Source organism: Homo sapiens, chromosome 20 (genome assembly GCF_000001405.40).
Source record: "Homo sapiens chromosome 20, GRCh38.p14 Primary Assembly".
In the NCBI taxonomy this organism is placed as follows: domain Eukaryota; kingdom Metazoa; phylum Chordata; class Mammalia; order Primates; family Hominidae; genus Homo; species Homo sapiens.
In genome coordinates, this window is record NC_000020.11 from 42,256,397 (window position 1) to 42,284,006 (window position 27,610).

At 43.8% G+C, this 27,610-nt stretch overlaps 1 protein-coding gene across 11 annotated transcripts in view; it reads right to left on the reverse strand.

Annotated features, from left to right (window-relative positions):
• Positions 1-27,610, reverse strand: part of PTPRT (protein tyrosine phosphatase receptor type T) — a 1,158,017-nt gene that overhangs the window by 224,507 nt on the left and 905,900 nt on the right. For 7 of the 11 annotated variants that reach the window (XM_047439848.1, NM_001394024.1, NM_007050.6 and 4 more), the window contains exon 13: positions 26,093-26,129. In XM_047439848.1, the coding sequence (XP_047295804.1) occupies positions 26,093-26,129 (37 nt within the window). Of the gene's footprint in view, positions 1-14,000; positions 14,058-26,092; positions 26,130-27,610 lie in introns of all 11 variants that reach the window. The other 4 variants (NM_001394025.1, NM_133170.4, XM_047439847.1 and 1 more) reach the window with 1 other exon arrangement.

Here is a 27,610-nt window from a genome sequence, read left to right on the forward strand (position 1 = left end):
ATCATGAACTACTTTGGCAGTCTTTGAGGACTGAAATTGTAGCAAACAGGAGGGGTGCGAGAAGCCTGGGGAGAAACAAATGCTGTTGCTGACTTTTTTTAAAAATGAAAAAAAAAATGTATTTCAGATACTTTACGCTAGTGTGATGTTGATACAGGAAAAAAAAATAGACTAGATGATTAAATCAGGTTCCCCCCACCCCCACCCTTACCACTTAAAAAAGGAAGAAATAATCACCAGAAACCAGCACAGCCTCACATCAGACAGCATTCAACCAGGGAAAAGGAAACCACTCCTAACTTTTAAAACAGAGCAAATTTACTAGAAAATTAGTACACAGGGATTAGGAGACAATGCTGGGGAAACTCAGAGGGTGGTAGTATCAGGAAGCCACTACCCAGCCCAGACTGGAGAAACAAAAAGAGATGGTGGAGTTCTCAAAGCCCAGAAGTAAGGATCACCCAACAGAAGTGGAACTCTGGTAGACCCATCTGGAGACCTGAAGCCATGGAGTCACCGCCAAAGAAGGGGCCTGAGCCCAAGAGAAAGAAGGCTCCTCCCTTCCTCCAGCTTTACCATCTCTTATTAAAGTCTCCCATTAGCCAAATCCAGAAGCCAGTAGGCATGCGGGTCCCATGCAGGGGTCACCTACATGCCCAGGAGCATAGGGCAACAGTAAAGGATGGTTGTGACACCAAATGGGCCAAGGACAAGCATGGGCTTCTTATAAACAAGTGATGCTAGCCTCACCTCTCTTTGCCACTTTCGAGGGGTGTGTGGGCTTGTAAGTCAGGGAGAATGTCCAGAACTGCAGCTTGATTTTAGCCAAGTCAAGGCCAACATGGAGAAACTGTGGCTGACTTTCAGGACAGCCGGGTGTGAAACTGAGTTCTTCCAGAAGATGGAAACAGAAGGGTCAAGATATCTGACCACATGCAAAGTGCTAACAATGAACAATAAAGAGGTAACACATCTAGGGCTTTTACTACAATCCAGGCTGCCGTTTTAAACCCTTCACATATATTCTCTCTTTTAATCTTCACTGCCCTATCACTATGGTTTGGATCTGTGTCTGCACCCAAACCTCATGTCAAAATGTAACCTCCAGTGTTGGAGGTGGGGCCTGGTAGGAGGTGGTTGGATCCCTCATGAACGGTTTAGCACCATCCCCTTTGGTACTGTCCTCATGACAGTGAGTGAGTTCTCGTGAGATCTGGTCATTTAAAAGTGTGTAGCACCTCCCCCCACCCCCCCCCCCCCGCCCACTACTCTCTCTTGATCCTGATCCTGCCATGTAAGATGCCTGCTGCCCCTTTGCCTTCTGTCATGATTGGAAGCTTCCTGAGGCCTCCCCAGAAGCAGAAGCTGCTATGCGTCCTCTACAGCCTACAGAACCATGAGCCAATGAAGCCTCTTTTCTTTATAAATTACCCAGTCCTGGGTATTTATAGCAATGTGGGAATGAACTAATACACCTATGAAGCAGGTTCCATCATTATACCTATTTCTGAGATGTGGGAACAGCCTCTGAGAGACTAAGTAATGGTAGCAAGCAGGAGAGCTGGGACATAGGCCCTGGCAGTCTAGCACAGAGATTATTCTCTTTAACCTATCGTACTACTCTGTCACCTCTCTAATAAATAGGGGGAGAGACCGTTCAGCAGAGAAATGTGTTTGTCTTTTCTCAAATATCTGGAAGAAAGAAGCAGACACGTATTTAGATCTAGAATCTTCCATTGACCAGCCAGATTAAAATATCTTTGTATTGATGCCTGTCTCTGCCGGGTTTGCCACCCACTCTATCATGCAGTTCTATTTCATGCATCTTTCTTGAAGATTATCTCCTCTCATGCCCTCGCACCCACGTATCCTATTCTAATATCTAAGGGATTGATGAACATGTCATGTGAACCTTGTTACATGAGCCAAATTATACAGACTTTGCTCAAATGATATTTAAACTTGACCTTTTTAACTTAAGTTCCCTCATCCTTTTCACTTTTCTTGTATATCAACCACCACCTCCAAGCCTTTCATATGTTGCAGTTAGTTTTATTATAATCGCTGGGCTTTCTATATAATACCTTTATTGATATTTAGCAAACAAACCATCCCATATAATTCCATAGGGAGACAAGTCTTGTTCAAATTTAGGTGATTTTTTTCTGCTTTGTCTCCAATATTCTTTCTTTGATCTTGCTGTGACTAATTTTTTTAAATTGCTGACTACCTCCCCATGCCTCAAAGCAATGCCTCCTTCACCAGATCTGGTTGATAATAGAGCACTTGAGAAGGATTATTTCATCATTCTTCTAAGTGACATCACCTAGGATGTTTCTCAAGTAATAAATAAATTGCCTCAATTCATCATATGACAGTAATTGCTTTTAGTCACGATTTAACTCAGAGTCAATGTTAAGTAGCTGGAAAATACCACAGAGATGCAGGGTTTTCAAAGATAGCTCTACCCTTGCTGTGGAAAACCACTTAATAAGTACTGTTAAATGCAAAGAAGATACACATTTCTAATACCCCAGACTCCTCAATACTACCCAGTCAGTCCTAAGAAGTTAGAATTGACTTCATCACAGCCTATACAACTAAAACTGCTAAATATTGCTGACAGAAGTTGCCCTCGTTTTCGGCCTCGAATGGAGGTTAGCACCCTGTGAGACAGGAATAGCTTTAATTGATTGTTTGAAAGCACTCAGGCCACTCAAATAAATTGTTCCTCAAGTGCTGATTTTGCTTGGTCTCCTGAATCTATGCTTCCAGATAGACCTTGTTTTACACTGTAAATGCTCTGTGTAGGTCAAATTCTAGTTCAGTCATGTTACACACACCAGGAAAGACGGCTAAATGAGACTCTGATAGAGAACGTCTTCTGGATGTAAGAAAACTCCTTTATTCTATTAAGAAAGTGTCTTTTTTTTATCCATGGAAATAGAGGAAAACAGACTTATTTATGAGCAGTCATGCCCAACTGATGCCAGACACAGTCATTATTGACACACCCCTTCTATGGCATATCCTTTTAAAGGTTTCACCGTTGGTGAGCTGGAAATCCATTTATACCTCCCAATGACCTCAACTACTTTCTGTTGTGCCAAGGAGGCCTAACCTATGAGGGCTGCCAAGACCCAGCTGGGGTAGAGAGAGGATTCAGTCTGTGGTAAGACTAAGACCTTAAGCTATGACTAGAGTCAGGTATAAGGTTGTCTAAGAAACCAAGTATAGGGCATACTTTGTAGACTGGGTTAGGTTTCAGACCGCAGTCAAGGTTAATGACCAGGATGTGGCTGAGGTAGGGGTCAAAGCTAAAGCAGAGATCAGGAGTCAACTTACGGCTCGGGTTTAGAAGTGTTATGGCAGTCAGTCTGCATCCATGGTGGGGTCAAACTTGCCCACAAGTGTGGCTTAGACTTTATTCAGAAATAAAATGTAGCCCATGGCCATGAAAATAACTGGACAAAGCCCAGTGACCTCCACATGGACTATATCCATTACCTTGGTCTCATTAGCATCAGTTCAACCCTTGGCTTCATAGGAATAGTCCTGGACATTGCCTAACCTGAGTGGTGCTAGGATTATAATGATGACAGTGGCTATAGCAAGGTGCTGAGCATGGAAGGTAATTAGACAACACTACTGTCTTGGAACTCACTACTTAGGGGGAGAGGAAAGTGCAAACTAAAAATCAGAGTTGAGTGATGGGCACCAACACAGAAGTGTGCACAGGAAAGGGCATGCCCAGCTCTGCTTAAACAAAACTAGACTACAAACTTGATTTCCACGTCATCCATGGTGTGGGACACATCAGGGCATTCCTGTGACCACTCAGTGGCCTTCTCTTTTCCCTCCCCACCTTGACTCCCTGTGGGCCAGACTGTCCTGCTGATGCGGATGAAGAGGCTGAGTCATCTCAGTGCTGACAGTACTGGCTCCTTGCTTATAGAATCTGTGCTTTGAGCCTGGAGCTCAGGAGGCTCAAAGCCGCTTAGCTGCTGCAGGCAGGAGCACCCACGGCCTGCACTGGGGATTAAGGGTTTAGTCTGAAGAACAGATGTAAGAAGAAGAACATAAACTCTTTAGGATGCCCTGCAGCAAAGTGATAGTCCCTTTAGAGTTCTTCAGGCAGCCAGTATGAGAGAGCTGTGGTCACACTGAACTGACTGTAATTCTTCCTGTGAAGCTCAGAGCAGTCCCAGGGCAGCAATGGGCCAAGGAGAGGCTTCTCAGGAGCAGCCAGTATAGAGCCAAGTACAAAAGCCAATCAGGGACAGTCTGCAGGTCATGTAATTCCGGGACACTGAGAACAGGTTACCACAGCCTGGCTTGTGAAGCAAAGCCCAGGCCAGGGCATGACCAGCAAGCAGATGCTGAGACTATTCAAAGGGAGAAGCAGAAACCAAACCAAGAAAGGAAGGTTTAGAGCCACAGAGTGGAGACCTGTCTGGGCCAAATGTAGAATACAGTCAACAAGGGGACCTCACTGGGGAGATGGGGTGAGCCAAAGGGATTCTCTGGATGGCAGCTCTTGGCCAAGGTTTTCTTGAGGTCTGCCCACTTTAAAGGCACAGCCCTTAAAGCTCAACCACTGCCCACTGGCCAGTGCTCAGGATCACTGCATTTCTAAGTACATTCATTTTCCAGGGCTGTTATTACAAATAACCACAACCCAAGAGGTTTAAGGACAGAAATTTATTCCCTCACAATTCTGGAATCCAGCAGTCCCAAATCAAGGTGACAGCATGGCCATGGTCCTTCTGAGACTGTGGCAGAACTCTTCTTTGCTTCTTCCTAGCTTCTGCTAGTGGTTGGCAATGCTTGGCATTCCTTGGCTTATAGATGCATCACTCCAATCACTGCCCCTGTTGTCAATGACTTTCTCCCTATGAGTCTGTCTTTACATGATGTTTTTCTCTTCTTGTAAGGACACCGGGCATATTGGATTAGTGTCCACCCTTCTGACTTTATCTAAACTAATTACATTTGCAAAGATACTGTTTTTAAATAAGGTTCCACTCACAGGTACTGGGGTTATTACTTCAACATATCCTTTTGGGGAACACAATTCAACTTCTAAGACCAGGTGAAGCTGAGTCATGACCCACACAGCCTGGGGATGGGCTACAAGCAGGAGCGGGAGCTCAGCATTTCACTAAATGAAATGCAAACTCTAAAAGGGTTCACAGCCAAATGGACAGGCAGCATGTGGGAAGAGGAATGGGGGCTCCTGCTTGGTTGTGGACTGAGCAGAACACAAGGCTTCTGGAAGGATAATATGTCTCAGCTTCCTTTGTCTGAACTGCATAGCAGGGTGCACCAGAGGCCGAGGCTCCCCTAGGCTCATACTCAGAAACATAATTCAATTCTTTCCAACCAACTCTGGCCAAATTGATCCCCTAAGGGGTGACTGTATTACCTGACTTAGAGGGGCAAGAAAGGGGAGGAGAAGCAAAGATCTGCCCATCTGGGGCAGCTTTGTCCAGATTATGCATCTGCAACATGCCGCTTGCAGCTAGCATCAGAGTGCCTGGAAAGGAGAGAAGGGGCACGGGAGGAAGCAGGCAATCTATAGGAAGGATTAGTGGAAGCATAAGCAGGATCAGACAGAGGAGCCAGTAAACACGCAGCACAGAATTTCAGATTAGTGCAACTAACCCGTGCAACGGTAATAAAATGAGCAGCAGCAAGCACGGAATTGATTGTTGAGATTCCAGCCAAATCCACCATGAACATGTTTTCTTTCTTCTAGCCTTTGCCCCTTTGCTTTTGAAAGCAGAAACACTGAATCACTGTGTTCTGTATTAAAAGCTGATCTGTTCCCCTCCCCAAAGGATGGATGGAAAAGCAGCTCTGCTCTTAGTGGGAGGTGAGGAGGGTAGAAGAAGTGGCCAGTGTGGTTGTAGCAGATGCCACTTGCCACACTGGCACAGAGTCCTAAGACAGGGTCTTCCCTATGACTGCCCACGATTCCTGCCCCCAGCCCAACCTCTTTTGGGCCAACACCATGAGATCCCAGGCGAGACACTGGGCTCAGCAAGACCAGCTCCAGCAGATTTGGGGGAGCTCCAAACAAGGGCTCTGAAGACTCAGTCTCTAGGAAGCTTGGCAGGTGAGTCTGCATGGAGTTCAAATACTGGATTGAAAACTAGTGACTCACAATTAGCCCAACAAAATGGTAGATGGTGAGTAGAGTGAGGTGCTTGAACCATCACAGGCTGGAGGCAGAAGTGGGGATGGGGGTGAGTATACCATGCCTGGCACATGCTCCATCAATGTCAGTCATCTGCTTATTTATTAAATCATTCATGCATGGGGTCAAATGAATGAGCACTACAATGTGTGCTAGGCACAGGGAAAGAGTTGATAGAAACCAAACAGCTCCAACAAAACATGCTTATACCTTGTACATATGCCATGTTCAATAGAAAACTTTGCTTAGGGCGGGGGAGGGGGTTGCAGTTCTTTGTGCCAAGTGGCCCACCCAGTTGACTATCTCTGCATGCAATCTGGAGATAATGGGGGCCAGTAAAGGTTTTGCAGAGATCAAACTGTCTGAACTTGATCCTAGAGGATGAGTAAGGCAAACCATAGAGGGAGAACATCTCAGCAGAGAGAGGAGAGTGTGAGAAGGCAAGTACCACTCACATGATCAGTTTGAACGGGTTACAGGATGCTGAGGAGGAAATAAAATTGGAGAGATAAAAAAGGGATAGGCACTAGGTGGTAAATGGCCTTTGATTCAGGCTAGTTATCCCAAAGCACAAGGGGAGCCCTGGGAGCATTTTAATCAGGATTAGACTCTCTCTCTTTTTTCTTTTCTTTTCTTTTTTTTGAGACTGGGTCTTGCTTTGTCACCCAGACTGGAGTGCAGTGGCATGAACATGGCTCACTTTAGCCTCAACCTCCTGGGCTCAAGCGATCTTCCCACCTCAGTTAGGGCCACAGGCATGCGCTGCCATGCCTGGCTTTTTTTTTTTTTTTTTTTTTTTTTTTGAGACGGAGTCTTGCTCTGTCACCCAGGGTGCAGTGCAGTGGCATGATCTCGGCTCGCTGCAACCTCCACCTCCCGGCTTCAAGTGATTCTCCTGCCTCAGCCTCCTGAGTACATGGAATTACAGGTGCGTGCCACCACACCTGGCTAATTTTTGTATTTTTAGTAGAGACGGGGTTTCACCATGTTGGTCAGGCTGGTCTAGAACTCCTGACCTCATGATCCGCCCACCTTGGCCTCCCAAAGGGCTGGGATTATAGACATGAGCCACTGCGCCGGGCCTTTTTTTTTTTTTTTAACTTTACTTTCGTAGAGACATGGTCTCACTATATTGCCTAGGCTGATCTCGAACTCCTGGGCTCAAACAATTCACTGACTCAGCCTCCCAAAGTGCTGGGATTATGGGTGTGGAGCCACCATACCTGGCCTGAATCATACTCTTATTTTTAGATGATCACTCTGGCTTCAGTGGGGAATAAATATTGGAAGGGGATTGATGTAAAGACATGGGGACCCCAATTTGGAATCTGTGACACTAACCTTATGAGTCCCAGACATGAGTTGTAGCAGTGAGCAAGAAGGAGACAGAGATTCAGGAGAGATTTCAGAGGCCGTATCTATCAGATTTAGTGATAAATTGGATACTGAAGATGAGGAAAAAGAGAAGGCAAGGATGATGCTTGGCTTCTGAATCTGAGTTTAATGGCAGTTTGAATGGAAGACTGGAGACTGATTTCTCCTTGCTTTAAGGAGAATATCCCAGGAGAGAAAAAGGTGCAGTGAGAGCCTCAGTCATATATGCTCCCTGATTAGACATTTGTTTTGAAGAAGCACAAACATTAACAATCATCTCCCACAGAACACCCTACAGGGATGTGACAACCCTCTTCTGCATTAAGTCTTTTGATTCAGTGGGGAGACGGGCAACAGAAAATGGCAGCTCAAATGATGTACCAATAGCCTTGTGTCTGTCAAGCTTTGAGCATCTGTTCTAAGACTGTTGTTAAGGACAGTATCCTAATGCACTTGATCCAAGGCTCGTCTCCTCCCCCATTCTGTAGTGTCAGCCTTACAGCCATATGAGTAGTTGCCCAGAACAGCTGAGGAGGGTCCTCTGCAATGATCAGCCTGGCTCCTGGATGTCACCTGCCCTCGTGGCCTCCAGCTGTAGCTCTTCCCCTAGTCTTCTGGCACAGCCATGACCTTTGTGCACTCCAGAACCAACCAAAGCACTGGTCAAGGGGAACTAGAGGATGCCCAGGTCAAAGGCTCAGGGATGTCCACATCCTTTCACCTATCTCAGCTCTCAGTCTTGCTCTTGCCTTGGGTCACTGCAGGAGCTGGGGTTGCTGTGCTGCTGTGCCCAGCCATCCACCTTATATCCTAAAGCTTTGATGAGCCCTGATTCATGACTTCTATTTGGCACTTTAGGTGCCCCAGGCCTGAGGCCCTGATGGGCTCTTACCTATTTCCTCCACCACTCACGTTTCTCAGAAACCACAGTTCTGGCCCAGTCACCAGTCACAGTCTGGCCCAGATTCAGTCTGCCTGAATCTTACCAATGGTCAGCTTGCCTGCTGCTCACTCTCTGGACCTCAATTTCCTCATCTGTAAGATGGGTTAAGATCATTATAATGATGGCACAAGTCTAAGATAATGAAGTTTTTTATCTCATGATTCTTCTCAATAACTGGTCATTTTTAGTATTTCCATTTTGCAGATGAGAAAATGGGGAAACTTTGGGGCTCAAAGCCTCTCAGATAGTAAATTATGTGGCTTCTGAGACTGTCCTGAACCATCCTGCCATGGTATTTCCCAATGCTGGCTCAGAATGGGTGTTCTCTAATGTCTATGGGCACAGAGCATGGAGAGTATGATTACAGACTGTCTTGAGAGACCTGGGTTTGAATTCTAGTTTCATCATTTCAGAGTTGAGTGATTTTTAATCATCTGACCCTCAGTTTCCTCATCTGTAAACTGTGACTACTAACAGTACTCTATTTGGCAGAGTTGCTGGGAAGTTTAAATGAGTTAATGATGTGAAACTCAGCACATTCCATAGCATGTAGGAAGTATGTAACATACTTGCTGTTATATTTTTCTTTTCATCGTCTTATTGGACATTCCCAATGCTTTGTCCCCCAGAGCTGCCCCCTCTCTCCTGACAGGCTGTGCCCCTGCCTCTGCTGCCTGTCTTCGCCTCTCTCCATGAAGCATTTTCCCCTCATGGTGGCTGTTCAGGTTGGAGCTTCACCCGGTTCTCCTGCCTCTGGTTCCTGTTCTCACACCATCTGTCAACCCCTTCCACTGGGCACATGCTCCCTTGGAGGGTCACTGAAGCCTCAGGGTGTCCAAGCTCACAGGGCCCAGGGCATGACCCTAGGGAGACTGCTGCCTTGCTTCATCATCTTCTCTTGGCCCACATAGCTTTCTCCCAAAGGCTCAAACTCCTTCTGCCTGGGTCTGAGTAAAGCTGCCCCTGGGAAAGTTGCTTTAAGGACAGTTGCTAAGAACTCCCAGAGAGTGTATGATGACCTGAATCCTGTCACTGTGCCAAGGCCGTGATTTAAAGAATTTCCAGCGAAATAATAAGAGAGAGTTTTAACATGAGGTACACAGGAAATAAAGGAATAATAAGGGAAGCTGTATCCAATATCTTCTCAAACCTGGAGCTGGGTTGAGAGTGCATCCATTTCTTCTGTTGACCCTCACCATGATTAGGCCTGGCTGTACAGGGACTCAACTGTACTATTTCACAAATGAAGAAGGTGAGGCTCAGAAAGGCGAAAGGCTGAGTAATTGGCTCAAGGTCCCCAGTTTTAAGGAATGGAGTTTGGGCTCCAGATGAGGGCTTGTCCCACAGCTCTTTTTTCTGTAGAAAATTGACAATGGGCATGGGGCATGGCCAAGACAATGAAGTCAGATCTGCCACTGGGGATGACCTTTAGCACAGCTACTCTGGCCTCCAGACTGGACACTGTCAGTCTCCTCTTGGGCTCAGAAGTCCAGGCCACCCCCTTGAGGCCTGGCTGAACTGCAGGAGGGATGTGAAAAGAGGCCTTCTTTCTGCACTGGTGGGCCTGGGGAAGACTGAGTTCTCTTAATGTTAATTAACTGGTCACTTCTCTACTGCAGCCTCCAGTCAGCTCACTGCAGAAAAGTGCCCAATCCTGGCCAGAAGAGGATTTTACCTTATTTTTCTCAATATAAACATTCCTGACCTCTACCCACTAGGTGACTATAGCCCCTCGCACCCAGCTGTGACAACCAAATACATCTCCAGATTTTGCCAAACGTCCCCTAGTCCTAGAGAGCAACAAGGAATAAAAGGAACTGAATATTTACTGAGCCTCTTCTCTACACATACATTTCTATTCACCAACTAGGGACAAAGATGACCCTAGATGTGTTACCTCTTGATCTGCACTGCCCACAATGGTAGTCACCAAGTCACGTACTTAGAGCACTTGAAAGGTGGCTGGTGTAACTGAGGAACTGAATTTAAAAATTTATTTTATTGAAGTGTTCTATGTGTAAAATACACACCAAAGACTTAGTACAAAAAAAGAATGTAAAATATCTTTCATCTGTTGTTTTCTTTAATTTTGCTGCATATAATAATAATAATATTTTGGATATACCAGATGATTGTGAACCTAAGATAGGTGGGCTTAAGATTCTTTGACTTTACAATGCTGCTGAGAAAGTAATACCTGTTCAGCAGAGACTACACTTTAAGTACCAGTGCAAACATTCTGCTTTTCACTTTCAGTACAGTATTCCATAAATTACATGAGATACTCAACACTTTAATATAAAATAGGCTTTGTGTTAAATGATTTTGCCCAACTTCAGGCTAATGTAAGTGTTTTGAGCATGGCACATTTAAAGTAGGCTAGGTTAAGCTATGATGTTCCGTAGGTTAATTGTATTAAGTGCATTTTCAACTTACAACATTTTCAACTTATGGTACATTTATTGGGACATAACCCCATCATAAGTTGAGAAGGATCCGTATTGAGTTAGATACATTATATTATTAAAATTAGCTTCACCTGTTTCTTTTTACTTTTCTCACGTGACTCTAAGAAATTTAAAATTACATACAATATTCAAATTCTATTTCTATTAAACAGTATGGCTCTGGAGGTTTATAACAGAGGATGATTTTTGTCTCCATGGCACATTTGGGAATGTCTGGAGATGTACTTGGTTGTTACAATTGGGGTTGACGTGCTGCTGGCATCCAGTGGGGAGAGGCAGGGTTGTTGCTAAGCATCCTACAGTGCACAGGACAGCCCCCTGCCACCGGCCCCCAACAAAGAACTATCTGGCCCCAGACATCCATGGTGCTGGGGTTGAGCAATCTTGCCATAGAGAATGAATTCCTTGAAGGATTAGCCAATAAATTAGGAAGACCTGAAGAACTAATTGGACCTAGATGGGCAAAGAAGTTAAAGCTTTTATTGCACTTAGTTCTCATGATTACCTATGACTGTGGCTATTCATATTTCAATTTCTCCAAATAAAAATAATGAAGTCTGGAAAAGAAAAATAAATTATCCAGGATCACCAGCCCAGAAGGTGGCATTGCTGAGAGCTGAACTCAGCCTCCACTCACTCCGAATGCCAGCCTGTCCCTGCTACATAATGTGGTCCTGCAGCTCTCTGAGTTGGTGCTGATATGAAAAGAGGCTCCTGTGCTTAAAGTCTAATATCCCCATCACTCAGACCCAGGCAGTTATTATTTACATCAGCCATTATTGCTACCAGGGGACGAACATTAACAAAAACACCCTTTGAAAGGGATGGCACTCACAGGCACCTCACCCATCAAATGAGGTTGAGAAACGTGTGGAAATAAATGGATCACAATGAAATAAACCTGTCAGAGGAGGAACATTCAGACGCCTTAGAAGACAAGAGGTAAGAACAAAAGCACCTGATATGGGACTGGCTCTGTTTAAAGAAAATATTATCTGACTGCTCGACTGGAATAGAGCCTAGAGAACAATGGCCCAGCAGAAACGGAACAGCTCGCACACACTCTGGAGAAGTATTGTTTCTCTGTAAATTGGTGGTGTGCACAGTGACGAGAGTCACTTTTCTCCCACTGTCCATCTGCAACTCCCACCTCCCTTTGGGAAGGGCCTCTGATAAGGTAGGGCTGGGGACTGATTTCAGTAAAGACCTACTATGTGCTGCAACTGCACACAACATTCCTAGCATTTTCTAATGGAATTTTTAATATGACTGCATGAAGCACATATGATAATTAGTTTTGCACGTGAAATAAGGCTATGCAACTTGCTTAAGGTAATCTAACAGGGAGTGGCTGAGATGAAATTCCTGTGGTGTTGGCAGTGACACACTGGAGTACAGGTGTCCATGGCAGTACAAAGGCAGAGATAAAACTTGCCCATAGTGGATGCTGTTTAGGCTCAGCCCCAATCTCCTTTACTGGGCGGGTGTGACTACTCTCCAGCTGCTGTGGGTGCTGGCGCAAATGGCTCACAAATACCTCCCTTCCTAGAGAAGTACCATCAGGCATAAGGGAACCACTTCCCCAGGAGGTCATGCATTCCCATGGCAGCCCACAGCCAGTGGCTGACCAACACCATGGTACAAATATTGGCCCCCTTGCCTCAAGGTGGGCCCAACTCTTTAGTACATTTCCTACTCCAGACCTCCCCTTTACCCAGGGCTCAGGTAGATGCAGATCTCCACATCCCCCCTTAGCTTTGTTCTCTGCCATATCTCATCTTCCTCCCTTTCTTCTGAGAACACTCTGCAATGAATAATTTGCACAAGAATCTCCATCTCAGTCTCAGTGTCCAGGGAACTCAACCTAAGACATTCACCAGCAGTGATGTCTCTGAGTTTGGGAAACAGGGTGGCAGGAGTGAACTGTGAAGGTACTGGATGCCCAGACTCATGTCATCACAGCCTGCTGCACCTCCTTCTCCACCATGATAAACTGACCGTTCAGGGATTAGTAGACCGGAGGCCATTGTCTGGGCAAGGACTTTGAGAGAGGTGACAGTTAAAGGTTTGAAATCTCCAAGAAACTTCCCATTGACTAAAAAGGGACCCTGTAATAAAGAGGTCTCTAGGTCAGCAGATTATCTTTTGAGCCCCACGATGGACATCAACCTCTGACATGAGTGGGCTCTGTGTCCTTTGAAGAATGGCATACATTTATGTGAAATGAACTCCACCTATGGTACACTTGAGGAAAGGGGCTGGTATTCACTTCAAACAAATACAGACTCTGGACTGGGCGTACCCATGGCAGCTCCTTCGATGTCTATTATCTTGTTTAGTCTCAGAGGCCTCTGCATGTGTACGGTCTACAACGTAAATGGTGCCCCATAAGGGGTAGGTGGGATTATTCCTATTTAACAGGTAGGAAAAGTCAGGCTGATCATGGTATGGGTAAATTGTCAGGACAAATGGTAGACCTGATCATAGTGAGAGCTTCTCATTTCCTAAGCACAGAATTGTTATGTCAACTTTTTTCCCAAACTTAGATCACAGCTCAGCTGTCGCTTCCCCTGTGAAGCACTCCTTTGGCTGCACATGGGTTTGTTTATTTTGAATACCATGTACCTTTCCTTTGTAACACCACTTGAAGTGGCAAATTTATTTGTGTAGTTTTTGGACCAGTGGCTGTTTCTTCTCCTGGAAAGGCACTGGAACATATCTTCTTTTGCTCATCATTGTACATCTCCATGCCTAGAACAGTGCCTGGCACCCAGTAGGTACTTAGTAAGCATTAGTAGAAGGAATGAATAGGTGAGTGGATAGATGAGTGTATGCATAGAGGGATGGAGGGATGGGTGGATGAATGAATGTGTGGGTTGATGGGTGAATGGGTGGGGGGGTGGGTGGGTGGGTGGGGTGGAAAGACTGCTGATTCCTCTCTGGTGCACCTGGCCTGGAGGACCCACTGAGTGTGGGCAACTCTCCCCTCCCACCCGCCCAGGGCTCTGGTGATCACCTGTGGTGAGGAGGCAGAGTGGAGTCCCCGGGGTCACCTGGGCGCTGCCCATTGGTGCTGACCACAAGGAAGCCAGTCCCCAGGCAGCATGCAGAAGAGAAGGAGAGAAAGAAACACACATGAAAACGTGCAGCACGGTGAACAAAACTGCAATTCTTGTGGCTCTGAAGAGCTCACACTAAATAGCAAAAGAACATCATGATTTAACAAAACAGGGCCTGAAATAGATTTAAAAAAAATGAAACAAGAGTAAGAGGCACCACTTATCAAGCACCCACGACATGCCAGGTACTTTTCTGGGTGCCTCACATATAATGTTTCTAAGATTTAGAATAACCCAGAAAGGTCAGTATGACTATAAATAAATCTGTCATTTTTCCACCGAAACTACTTCTCTGTTAGACTTCCCTTTCTGCATAAATGGTGCCACCATCCATGTAGCTTCTCAGTCTAGACACATGGGAGCCCTCCTTTTTTCTGATGTCCCTCTTATAATCAATCACCATGCTTTATTAATTCTACCCCAGAAAAGCTCTTGAAGCTGCTTCCTTCTCTTTAATTTCATTCTCACTTTGTTCAAGCCAACCTTGTGTTTCACATGGATTATTTAAGCAGCCTGTCGTCTGGTCTCTCTGCCTCCAGTCTTGTTCCCCTTCAGTCTTACTCTCCATCCTTCAGTTGAAATACAACAGTGCTGCCTCGTTGTCCCCAAGGTAAACTTCAAACCACCTCACTCAGCTCACAGGCCCTCCATGATGAATCTCCTGCCCACCCCTCTGGTCTTGTCTCTCTTCACTACCACTGCCCACCCTGTCCCAAGCATGACAACAGCTTTCCATTATCAACAGCCCCCCACCTTCTTGTATGTAAGCCTTCCTTAGGTGAGTCACTTTGCATGGGATATACTCCCTCCTGCTCCTTCACCTGGCTGATAACTGTTCATCCGTCAGGTGTCAGTTTATAACCTGTTACCTCTAGGGAGTCTTTAGTACGTCAGTGAATCTGGGACAGATGCCCCTTCTTGTCTTCCCATAACACCCTCATCTTCCCTTCTTATTGCAATATATCACTGTATTAGAAATGGATGCCTTCTCTTAAATCTGTAGTCTCCTTGAAAGCAGACACGGTGTCCCATTTACTAGTGTACTCATGTGGCCTTGCATTGTGCCTGACACATAGTAGGTACTCAGTGAATATTTGTTGAATAAATGAAGAATGAATGAAGAAATGTTGAATCATAGAATTTGTAAAACTTGTTCAAGGTCACAAACTGGTAAAGGTTGTATTCAAACCCTGGTTTGTCTGGCTTTAATGTTCCTGTCCTTTCAAATCCACCCCTCACCTCTCTAAAGAAAAACATACAAAAGGTTGAAAGGTGTTTTAGGCTTGTCCAGGGACTGCAGCTTTCTCCAGTGATCCATCAACAAAACTGCAGGAAGTTCTTATGCAAAATTGAGAAGATAGAGTATTCCAGACCAACTGATAAACAAAAAATACATAATTTCAAAAATAATACAGATGGCAAACTTGATCAACAGCCATGAAATACTATAAAATTTAACCACCAGTAAATAGTAATCATAATACTTCTCCCTTAAAAATATGAAAAGTTTTGCTGTTTTAAAAGCACAATCTAAGTCAGGGGTCAGCAAACTATGACTTGTAGGCCAAATCTGGCCCCCCACTCCCTGTTTTCTGTGCAGCCATGAGCTATAAATGCTTTTTACATTTTTCTAATGGTGGGGAAAAAAATGAAAGAGGAGTAATATTTTGTGACACATGGAAATTATATAAAATGCAAATTTCAGTGTCCATAAACAAAGTTTTATTGGAACACAGCTGCACTCATTCTTATACATATTCTTATATGTATGGTTGCTTTGGAGCTACAATGACAAACTTTAGTATTTGTGACAGAGACCATAAGGCCTGCAAAGCTGAAAATATTTACTATCTGTCCTTTTACAGAGGAGTTTGCTAACTCCTGTTCTAAGTGGCTATTTTTTAGGGTTTTTTTTTTAACCCCAATGCTCTCAGATAGGCAAGACAAAGACTGTCGCCCTCACATGTCAGTAAAAGAAATGCAAAGCTTCAGAGAAGAGATGACTTACATGTTCCCACTTGGCCCCCTTCAGCAGCCTCTTAACTGCTCTCCCATTCTGTAGCCTTCTCCCTGCCTTAGTCTTCCTTCTCTGATTCATTTTCTAAACTATAACTAGGGTGTCCTTCCCCAAAAAGGCAGTCTGCTTAAGTACCTCCAGGGGCTCCACTATCTAAGGACAATGCTTTTATATGTGCGCGCATGCGTGCACACACACGTGCGCGCACACACACACACACACACACACACATACAGTGGGGCTACACAGAGTCCTGGGTGGCCCCTGATCACTCCTAACCTCATCTGGTCACACTGGCCTACTAGCCATCATTCCTTTGCCTTGTCCCATTTAAATTCAGTGGCATGCTCTCTTGCCTTCAGTGATTTGCATACCTACTCCCTTGGCTTGAAGGCTTTCTTGACTTACTTTGCAACCTTGTTCGACATGATAATTGTTACTCTTCTTTCAAACCTTATCTCAGTGATCACACATTCTGAAATAGCATACCCTAAGTTGATTTATGTCTCCCTTCTTGCCCACCAGTGACATCCTGATTTTGCCTTGACGACAGCCCTTATTGGACTTATATTTATTCATTGCCTCTCCCATGAACTACTATTTGCTGAGTGTTTCTTACAAGCCAGGTATTATATTAAGTACTTTCGATACATTTTCTCATGAAATTCTTACATTAGCCCTGTGCAGTAAGTGGTAGTACTTATTTATTTATTTTTGAGATGGAGTTTCACTCTTGTTGCCCAGGCTGGAGTGCAATGGCATGATCTCGGCTCACTGCAACCTCCACCTCCTGGGTTCAAGCGATTCTCCTGCCTCAACCTCCTGAGTAACTGGGATTACAGGCATGCACCACCATGCCAAGCTAATTTTGTATTTTTAGTGGAGATGGGGTTTCTTCTTGTTGGCCAGGCTATTCTCGAACTCCTGTCCTCAGGTGATCCACCCGCCTCAGCCTCCCAAAGTGCTGGAATTATAGGCGTGAGCCACCGCACCCAGCCATAAGTGGTGTTATTGTCATTGGTTTATAGATGGGGAAACAGAGACACAGAATAGTTTAGTACCTTTTCCTACCTAGAATCAAAGACCATCCAAATCTAAAGATGATGTTTTTAACCACTAGGGAATGTGGGATTACATATCAATACTAAGTTGTACTCAATAAATGCTTACTGAAAAGTAAATGAATACATGAAAGTCTGATTCAGTATTTTTCACTCACTAGCTGTGTCATTTGGAAAATTACATACATTTCTAAATTTTAATTTCTCCACTTATAAAGTGGAGGTAATAATTATCTCATGAAGTCATCTTGAGGATCAAATGGAAAAGAGTTAAAGCCTTAGTTGGGTTGGTGGGCCTAGAGGAGGTACCTCCCCACTCCATCCTCTAGGTCTGCAACCCATGCTGTGCTTAGCAGTAATGCTCAGCTATCTGGGGTAGGAACAGAGGGACAGCTGGATAAATGCAGGAATGGGGAGAGATTTTTCTAGTTGGTGGGCAGAATATAGTGGGATGGATCATGGATCTCAGCAAAACACAAAAGGAGGCAGAAACAGAAAAAGGTCCTGTTTACATATATGGTTCTAGAGATGTCTCATGTTTACCAGTGTCTGTTCCATCTATCCTTGGGCATAGGAAAGAGTTCCAGTCAACTTGCAGTTGGGCTGTTGTCATGTGACTAGCTCTCATCAAGGCCATGTAAGTGGAAGTGGCATGAGTCATTTCCGAGTGACATATTTAAGATCCAAGTTGCCACTTCCATGCTTTCTCTTCCCCTGCTCAGGGGTTCTCTGAGACCACATATATTCTAGATGGCACAGCAACAAATATGCCTTTGTGGTATTAAGCTACTGGGAGTTGGGTATTAGCTTGTTATGTTAGCAAAGCCTAGCCTAGCCTAACTAATCCAGTTGCTGAGGTAGAGGTCTCTTGCTTTCTCCTGCATCACCTGGTCCCCTGACCACATCACGTTTTGAGGATTCATTACCCTTCTCTCTTTACTGTTTCCAGGCCCTGTACAGTGTGTGTGTGTGTGTGTGTGTGTGTGTGTGTGTGTGTGTGTGTGTGTGTGTGTGTTAGCCTGCAAAGAAGGAGCTCAGAATGCTGAATGTCTCAGACTTCCCTTCTGACTCTTGTCCCTTCTAAAGCAATCAGTGTTGAGTGCAGAGAGATGCTGCTGGGCTACAGATGGCCCTGGAGCAGACAACCCTGAAGACTAACTAATTTTTTGGTTTATTAGCTTCAATATGTTGTGGAAGTGAAGAAAGTTGAGGATTTCTTGAGCCACCTCACCTTCTGCTCCAGGACTTAGCTTGAATACTCCTGGAGACAGGCCAAAGACCATCACATGCTAAATATTCTATTATCAATTATTACTAGAAAAGAGGCATGGGAAGAGGTTAACAAATAGGTAGGAGACAGAGCATCCTGTCAGTGGTCAATGAATCTCATCTGTCTATAGTATTAACACAATGGAATCAGATCTGATTTCCAATTCTGAGGAAACTTGAGCTCCTTATTTAACCCCTTGAGCCCATTTGGCCCATCATTAAGTAATAACGATGACCACTATTTATTTAGTGTGTGCTAAGTGTCAGGCTTTACTTCTGTCATCACACTGAAACCTTGTGTCAGCACACAAAGCCCTGTGACTGGCACACAATAGGTGGTTAATTTTTGCAAATCCCTTTTAATCCCTCCTCAAACATCACATTGAGATCCCATCAATGGGGTTTAAAATATCCAATAGAGCTTTATTCTCTTTATTTATAACCCTTGTCTCTAGCCTACCCCAAATGTGTTCCTTCCCGGACTCCCAATTTTAAAAGGCCCCCCTTTTCCTTTAGAAGATGCAACTGCTTTGCAATAACAGACTTGCGATCAAGTCGACTCAGGTGTCTCTCAGATCTTGAGTAGATAATTCTTATTTCTAGTTGAGAAAGATGGATTGGAACTCCCAAGGTACATGCTTGAATGGCAAGAGTTAATCCTCACTTGTTTTTCTGAACTCTATCAAACCAGCTTTTGTCTTCCTGAGTGGGGTATGGAAGTGGGGTATGGAAGGGGTGTGTGTGGCGGGGGAAGTTTGAGCACAACTAGAGAGGCTAGAGAGATGTGCCAGCTGTTGTAGCAAGAAAAATATTAAAGAAAGAGTTGGGATATTTAAAGGTCATATTTAGGCTATCTTATGTGTACTTATGATATAGTTCTCTTCCTCCAACTTCTTGCAAAACCTTTAGGAAAATCTGTATTTTTCCATTGACATTTTAGGACCTAGAAGACAGTCAGTGAGAGCAAAGGGGGCCACAAGTCAAGGAGAATTTGTTACACTCATGTAACTCTGAGGATCCCAGTCCTGGAAAATGTATCTCATGGGACTCAGCTAAGGAAGAATAGCATTGTCCTGCCCAAACCCTCCAGCCACACAGTCTGAGCTTTCACCTCCAAAAGTTTGACAAGATTTATAAAGACTGAACAACAATCAAGAGCTTTCCAATAGACTATCTCACTAGAGTCTTTCCTCTCACAAGTGATTCCCCATTATGGCCCCTACCCTGGTTGCTCTAGCTAGATTTGGACATGCTATGCTCCTGGGTCCCTCCTGAAATTGCTGGTCTGGTGATGAAGAAAGGACAGTGTCATAGTCAAGGCTAGAAAAGGGATGACCACAATCCTATACATGTCCATAAAAGAATACTATTGCTCTGCAGGATCTCATCTAGAGACAACAACCTATCAATGGGAAGGTCAAGTACTGAAAAGTGAGGCCAACATCACTCCTGTCCCCTCTGGGTTTCTTCACTTTGGATCTAACCTGTATCCATTTGACAAACGGCTGATTTGTAGAACTGTACAAGCAGTGACTAGAGTCTGGGCTGTGGCTTTTTCCTTAGAGAACTGAGAGAGAGGATCTGTGCTTAGTAGGTCTGGGTCTCCAAGTCCCACATTAAAGACTCAGAAAGGAAGAGAGAAAGAAGGAAATATATATATATATATATATATATATATATATATATATATATATATATATATATATATATATAATGTTCTTGAATACTTGGTAGAAAGGGCTACCGATCTCAGGCTTCAAAGTGAAGGGACAGATTCGTAGATTTTAACTGACTTGTCCAAGGTCTAACAGCTAAATTTTGGGGGACAGGATTTGAATCCAGGTGTTTCTAATTTCCAATTATTCCATGCAACCTCTCAAGGAAGCTTCCTATATAAAACAGAATCTTCCACATAGGCTTGTATCAATGGGAGTAGGCATTGCCTATTGATAGCAGAGGATTATCACACCACCTGTGGCTGTGATTCTGTGGATAAACAAGGCATGGACACATCACTCCTCCTCTGGGCCCCAGTCTTAGCATCTGTTAAATGAGAGCATCTCACTGAAAAATGGCTATTTAGTGTCCCTGCTGGTCCCTGCAGGAGTGAGAATCCATTATGGGAAAAGGAGAGGAAAATGCCAGATGAAATGCTTTATCTCAGGCTTAGCTCTTATGAAAAGAAGGCATATTTACAAAAGCCAGCGCCCAAACCTCTTGCTGTCACTATTGGAACAATGGCGTTAGTCCATCGCTGCCACCAAGCAGAACAAAACTACTGGTGACACTGGCCCCTCATCCTATGCTTCATTATTCTGGAGTTCAGCTTTCAGCACCCACTCCAAGGGGGTTGTTTTAATGGGATCGTTAGAGAGTGTTTACTAGATTAAAACTGTGGCTGTCTTCTGCAAAGCAACTCTGCAAATGGCTTTATGGGTTTCTGGGTTTATTTTGTCTCAATGACTCGGCTCAGTTTGCAAATCAAATCAAAGCTGATTTTTCTAACTGCCACTCGGGCGCACCCAGCGGGAGTCTGCAGAGCCAGCTGTGTTCCCTTGACGGCTGGCGCTGGAGACAAGATGGGAGTGCTGCTGCCTGCTGGCAGCCAGAGTGGTTCCACCCAATGGAAAGAAGCAAGCATGCACCTTCCTGACCCTAACCAAGGCTGGAGGAGCAGGTCAGAGGAAGCAAATTTCATTTTCTGAAAGGAGAAATGGTAGACAGAATCTATTTGACTTCAAGGACTGATGGGCAGAAAAATAATAGGGAGCCAGTTTGGACTCATAATGTAGAAGCCCTCTCAAACGGAAGTGTCCAAAGTGTGAAGCAAGTCCATGGTGGGTAGAGAGATCTCTATCACAGCAGGAACAGAAACAGAGGCTGGCTGGCCTTCTTGTTAGTGGGGACTGCAGATCCCATAGTGGACACTTTACCTCTGTCACTTTTACTCCTACCATTTAAGAGAACAATCCTGACATGTAACTTGCATTTGAAAAAAATGAAGCCATGGAAGAATAATGACCTGTTAGTCATCCACTCATCCATCCATCCATCCATCCATCCATCCATCCATCCATCCATCCATTTGTTCATCCAATGCATTTCATTGAGTACCAGTATATGCTGAGATCTGGGAATAATAAAACAGTGCTCAAAATAAGCACAGTCTTTGCACTTACGTCACTTAGAGTCTAGCAGGGAGATAGACATTAAACATGTAAGTAGACTATATATATATATATATATATATATATATATATATATATATATATATATATATATATATATTTGCAAGTTGTGATGAGTGCTATGAAGGAAAAGTACAGGGTTTAGTGAGAGTGGAAAATTAGGGATATACATTAAAACAGAGGTCAGGATGGTCTTCTGAGGACATAAGGTTTAAGAGGCCATCTTAAAGATACTTCTCTGTTAAGATATTTATCTATTAAGGAGACATATATAGTAGCCAAAGCATTTCAGAGAGAGGGCAAGATGAGCGAAGGCCCCAAGCTTGGGAGGAGTTTGATGTGCCTGAAAAACTGAAAGAAGACCAGTGTGCCAGAGTGTAATAAGAGAATAAAAGGATAGAAGCTTAGAGGAGGCTGGAGGGAGGAAGGGATCAGATCACGCAGGCAAGACTGGTGGGGCAAGGCCTGTGGGTAAGGAAAAGTAGCAAAATGAACAGATGAGTACAAGAAAGGAGTCACGGAAGAATTAGAAAGACAGGACATCAGTGGGTAAGAGAACTTGGATGGAACTGGGCATCAGTTTCTCAAAGGGGGACTGAACAATATAGTTCTAGAATTGAACAACTAGGTCAGAAACAATTTTCCCTTGGCCTGCTCTGTCTCAGCCAGAGGACATGAATTGAGATACCTGGGTACCTCCTTTAGCAGCTGCAACCTGGGGCATCTTCTACCAGATGGGATAATGTACCTCTCATGGGAAGGGTCATTTTCTCTCTACTTGAGCATTAGCACCTCTGAAGTCTAAGTCCCTACCCCAAGCTTCCACATGCTCCATTTTCTAAAGGATCACCTTAAGCACCTGTGGCTGACATCTTCAACCTGCTACCTATGTTGAGCCCATCCCTCATCTTCCAAAGGTATGGTTCTAAATGATTCCCCTGCTCACTTGCCCTTTCTAACATTTCCTATTTTAATGATAAGAACAAAACCTGATTTTTAAATTGCTCTTTTTTGCTCTGTGGCTTTCTATTGTCTTCCTTTCAGAGTCTGAATAATAGTTTTAAATCCAAACCATCACTTAATGCCTGTTTACCCACTGGCTGCAGTTTTCTCTCTATGGCTCTGATCAGATTGATTCCCAGGTCTAGAGTGTGTCAAGCAAAGTGCTCAAAATGTCTTTTAGCTTTTATATTCAAGGAAATTCCCTTGCTTTTTGCTACCCTAATCAAACATCCTTATTGGATTAGGTGGTAGTATCCTCATAAAAAGGGGAATTTTGAACACAGTCAAGCAGACAAGGAGAATGTCATGTGATGGTAAGGCAGTGATCAGGGTGGCGCTTCCAAAAGCCAAGAAATGCCAAAGATTTGCCAGCAAACCACCAGAAGCTAAGAGACACACGTAGAAAAGATTCTTCCTCACAACACTCAGAAGGAACAAGGTCTGCAGACACCTTGATTTCAGACTTTGGACCTCCAGAACTGTGAGACAATAAATTTGTGTTATTTAAGCCAACCAATTTGTAGGACTTTGTTACAGCAGCCACAGGAAACTAATAGAGGTCCATTACTTTGCAACCGTCCAAGCTGGGTGGTACTAAATTAGATCCAGAGTTACTAGTAGCAACATTACACAAAGGAAAGGGTTGGAGACACATGCTGGAGCCAGGTGTGTGTCTAATATTCTTGTGTAAGGGGTACTAGGCTTGGGGTCAAGTTAGAATGATCCTGAATGAGTGCTTAGGGCTGTTACAACTGGCAACCATCTGGTTCTGTGGGATTCATGTAGCTGGTCATAGACAGTGGCTGGACTCTCCAGGGTCAGGGACCAGACAGCGGCAAGTTGCTTCATCACCAGAGTACTGGCCTTGAGTCTGACATATGGACTTCAGGGTCTGGATGCCCTCCATCAGACCCATGAAGCAGCTGCCGTGATGACAGAGAGAGGGAAGAGCCTTGGGAGAGACTGGTGACCCATCTCTGGGACTTCATATGCTTCCAAAGTCCGTGGGATTCTCAGTATCTTCCTGTGTTAAAAAGAATACTGTTTTCAGGAAGGCTGCCTAGAGGAAATTTGATCCGGGTGGTCAGGAAGGGATGGGATAAACAGAATATTGATTCCCAGCTTTAGGTTCTTGATACAAACTCCTCACGGGCAGTGGACGGATTTATAATAGATAGGGTTTGCCTTTAATCAACCCTAGGTACTCTAAGCATAGTACCAGGCACCAAGTAGACACTCATCAAACACAGGTCTGCTTCCCTTTGTCCTATGCTCCCCAAGCATCCTTCTTATCTGATGTGGTGAGAGGGGATAACTGAACTGTGTCCGACTGACATTCTGCACTATCTAGTTCTCTACCCCATTCCCAAGTGCTACTGGAGCCTCATTTCTTTGGGTTTAAGTGTTGGATCTCACCAAATTGGAAAACCAGAATGCGGATGCTCTGATTTCCCAATACCCTGACCTCTCAGAAGCCTGCCTGGGCTTGGACAGCTGGGCATTCACACTCATTCATGCATTCCTATCCTTTCACACACGCTTACTTTACCTGCATACACACTCCATTCACTTAAGGAAAGATGGTAACCTAAAGCTCAAGCAAGAGGGGAAGCCCTTATGCTAAGGAGAGGTAGAGAACTCTTCTGTCTGGTTCTTTAAATGTCACTGCAATTCTCTTGCACATCAGCAAAGCAACTCTAGAGAAGCCCAGCAGGGTGGGCTTCTATGTCTCTGAGGACTGCAGTCCTGAAGTTTTCAGGAGAGTATAGTTTTAGAGATTCTTCCACTGTCCCCATATGTTCCTATTGCTTGTCAGGTCTCATGTTTCCAATTCTCAGTTCAGAAATTATGACCCAGCCAGCTACCCTCTAATAGAGCTTACATCCCAGAGGGTGTCCTTAGAATCCCACCTACCCCATGGAGTGCAAATCCATTGCATCCATCTCTCCTGGTCTAGAAATCGAAAGCCACCGAGGAGCCATAGAGCATACCATAGTGAAGGAGCTTTCTCTGTGAGTTTCCTTCCCTCTCCAGCTGCTTATTTAAGCAGGCTGCAGACACCTAGCTCTCCCGATTGCTGTCTAGAGCCCTAGTGCTACCCAATTGATGGTGTTCTTCCTTCTACATTATCTGTTTTCTTCAGTGGAAAAGTCTGCCAATATCTGTGATTTGTGTCACTTTTGTTTGCAGGCCATCAATTCTCCTTGCCTCACAGAGAGTATTTTATCTCTTTCCATCCAGGAGCCTGAGTTCCTGAGAGGGAACAAGTTAGGGACATGTCACCCTCTGTGACTCATGTGAAATCATGGTGACTTCTTATCACAGGGAGCCCTAGTGCTTCCGTTTTCTTCTTCCTCCTGCATCTTCTCTTTTGTGCCTACATATTGGGCTGATTTTCTTCAAAGTTATAAAAGTCATGTGTGATGGGTCTTGGTGCACATTTCGTCAAGTAGCTGTAGATTTTTTTCTCTCTTTTTCTCCCCACTCTGCCCGTGTGTGTGTTTATGTTCCTCTGTGTGGTTTTGTCGTTGTGCATGTGTCTATATATTTACACACATACACATACATACTTGGGTCATCGCTTTTCTCTGTACTTTAAATCTACGGTTATATGCCTACTTACGTTTACCACTTTTATCTCCTTGGAAGCAGTCTATGAAACTATGGATGCTGCCAGTAAATTCAGGGAACAGAGTAGAATTGCCCAGTTCTGTTGTGTGTGTATGGGGAGGGTTTGCTGTTAAAAATATCAACTCTGTAACAAAAAGATACATCTGATTTCTAACTATTCAACCCTGTAATAGGTTAAACGATAGCAAACCATTCATTGATTTTGTTTTTTAAAAAGAGTAATAAACAGAAACATGTACCAACTGAAAGAGCCAGGCAATTCAATTATAATTAGGAAAACAAAAGTGATGAGCCTGAACAATGCTGCCTTAGTTTTGGGGATAAGTGTTGAAAATGCCAACCACGTAATAATGCAGCGTTTGTCTTCTCATTACTAAAGGCCCCAGTACTAATCACCTCATTTTTGAAAGCTGTGTACCAACAGAACGAAGTACAGAACTCAGTAGATGGGTCTAATAGACATGCTTAAAAAATACCCACATAAACATAGACCCAAATATAAGAAAAACATATATCAAAAGAATATTTGAGTAAATTTATATCCATCACTCCACTGATCAAAGTACCAGTCCATCCTTTTACACCATTCATCCACCCATCCATCCATTCAGTAAATATGTTTTAAACTTTTACTCTATTTTACGCACTGTGCTACTAATATACACCCTAGAATGTATGTTCTAGATGCAAATGACTCCGGTGAAAATAACAATTCTTTCTTGTTTTGAGTTACTGTTGCCTAATCTTTCTCTGTGTGGCTAGAAAGAAATACTTAAATGGCTGAAGAACAGGTGAAGACAGACAAGCAGATGCCAACATACCTTTTGTAGCCAGACGAACACAGTTGATTTTGGTCTCCTGTGAACAACAAAAATGAGATGCCAATTAATTAGCTGTGAGTTATATAAAATTGTTATATAAAGACAAAAATACATATATATTTGCATATATATTCATGCATATGTATTTTTAATTATAATTTTAAATTTGCCCTTTCCATTTTTTTCCCCATCGGATGACCTTTTAATTCCATTTTTTAATTTTTTTCTCAGGCTAGGTACATATGTTATTCAGTTCACTTCCTGACTCCTACCATCTCATAAACCTCATTCCCAGACAGAACCACTTTATAAACATATCAGATAATTCCCAGCACTCATCATCTTTAACAATAACACGTAGTGGGTACTTGGGGTATGCAATGTGCTTTGTTCAGTTGCATGAGTGAGCAGATGGAAGGAGGGCATCCTTGGGAAACTTTGTTACTAGCAATAATGCATCTACATGCATAGACGGGAAGAGATACTTGGCAATAGTCCAGTCTATATGAAACATGTCAAACTCAAACTGCAAAGTTCATGTTCAAAAGTTACTTTTCCCCTGAGCTCTTGTGTGGGCCTCGCAACCTTCATAAATAATGTGTGTGGCAATAGAATCTTTGCTAGGTGAACTATCTAGTTGTTGTTAGCTGTTGCCAAAGTAAAAAGGATTCATAAATGTGTGATGTTGCTGGGCACACAGTGGAGTTAATGAAGAGTGTGCTTAGGAAGAGAATTCTCTGCCCGCTTTACTGGGATTCATCTCCCAGGAGGTCCTGGAACCAGCTGAAAATTCCAGTTGACTAAATTATACCCCCAACAACAGTCTGAATTCAGTGTAGCAAGGAAAGTAAAATGCAAAGAATGCAAGTATGTGAGTTGCTGAACCAAAAATCTGTCAATCATCCAATTCTTGTCTTGCTGCAGCTCATTCACAAAGAACCATTGCATCTTGAAGGGATTGGTGGCAATCAGGATAGGAAAGGTTAGGAGGCCATAATAAAACCCCTGAACTTCAGTGGCTAAAAACAGCAAAGGTTTATTTTCCATTCAAACTACCTGTCCAATGTAGGTGTGTGGCTGGGTCTAAGGGGTGAGATTGGGGGTGATTGGGAGACACTCTGACCATTGTAACCACTCAGAGATCATAGCTGGTATGTCCATTTTAACCCAAGGGGAGAGAGTGCTAAAGGGTAAAGCAGTATCAATCAAATGCTTTGAATCAGAAGCGACACTTTCACTTCTATGCGTGCTTTATTGGCTAGAACCAGACACATGGCCATGCCTAATTTTAGTGAGATGGGGAAATGGAATCCTCCCATGTATCCAGAAGTAGAGAAGACATGACAATGTCTACGGCAGATTCTATTCCATCTAGGTACACCTCTGAATGCTGGAAATGATCACTTCTATTACGTCCAAGTATGACTCCCCATAATTAATCTCATAGTTATCGCCAATAGTCTTGATTCTTTTCCTCAAAATGCACAGAAAGTCTGCTTTTGCTTGTGTAAAAAAGAG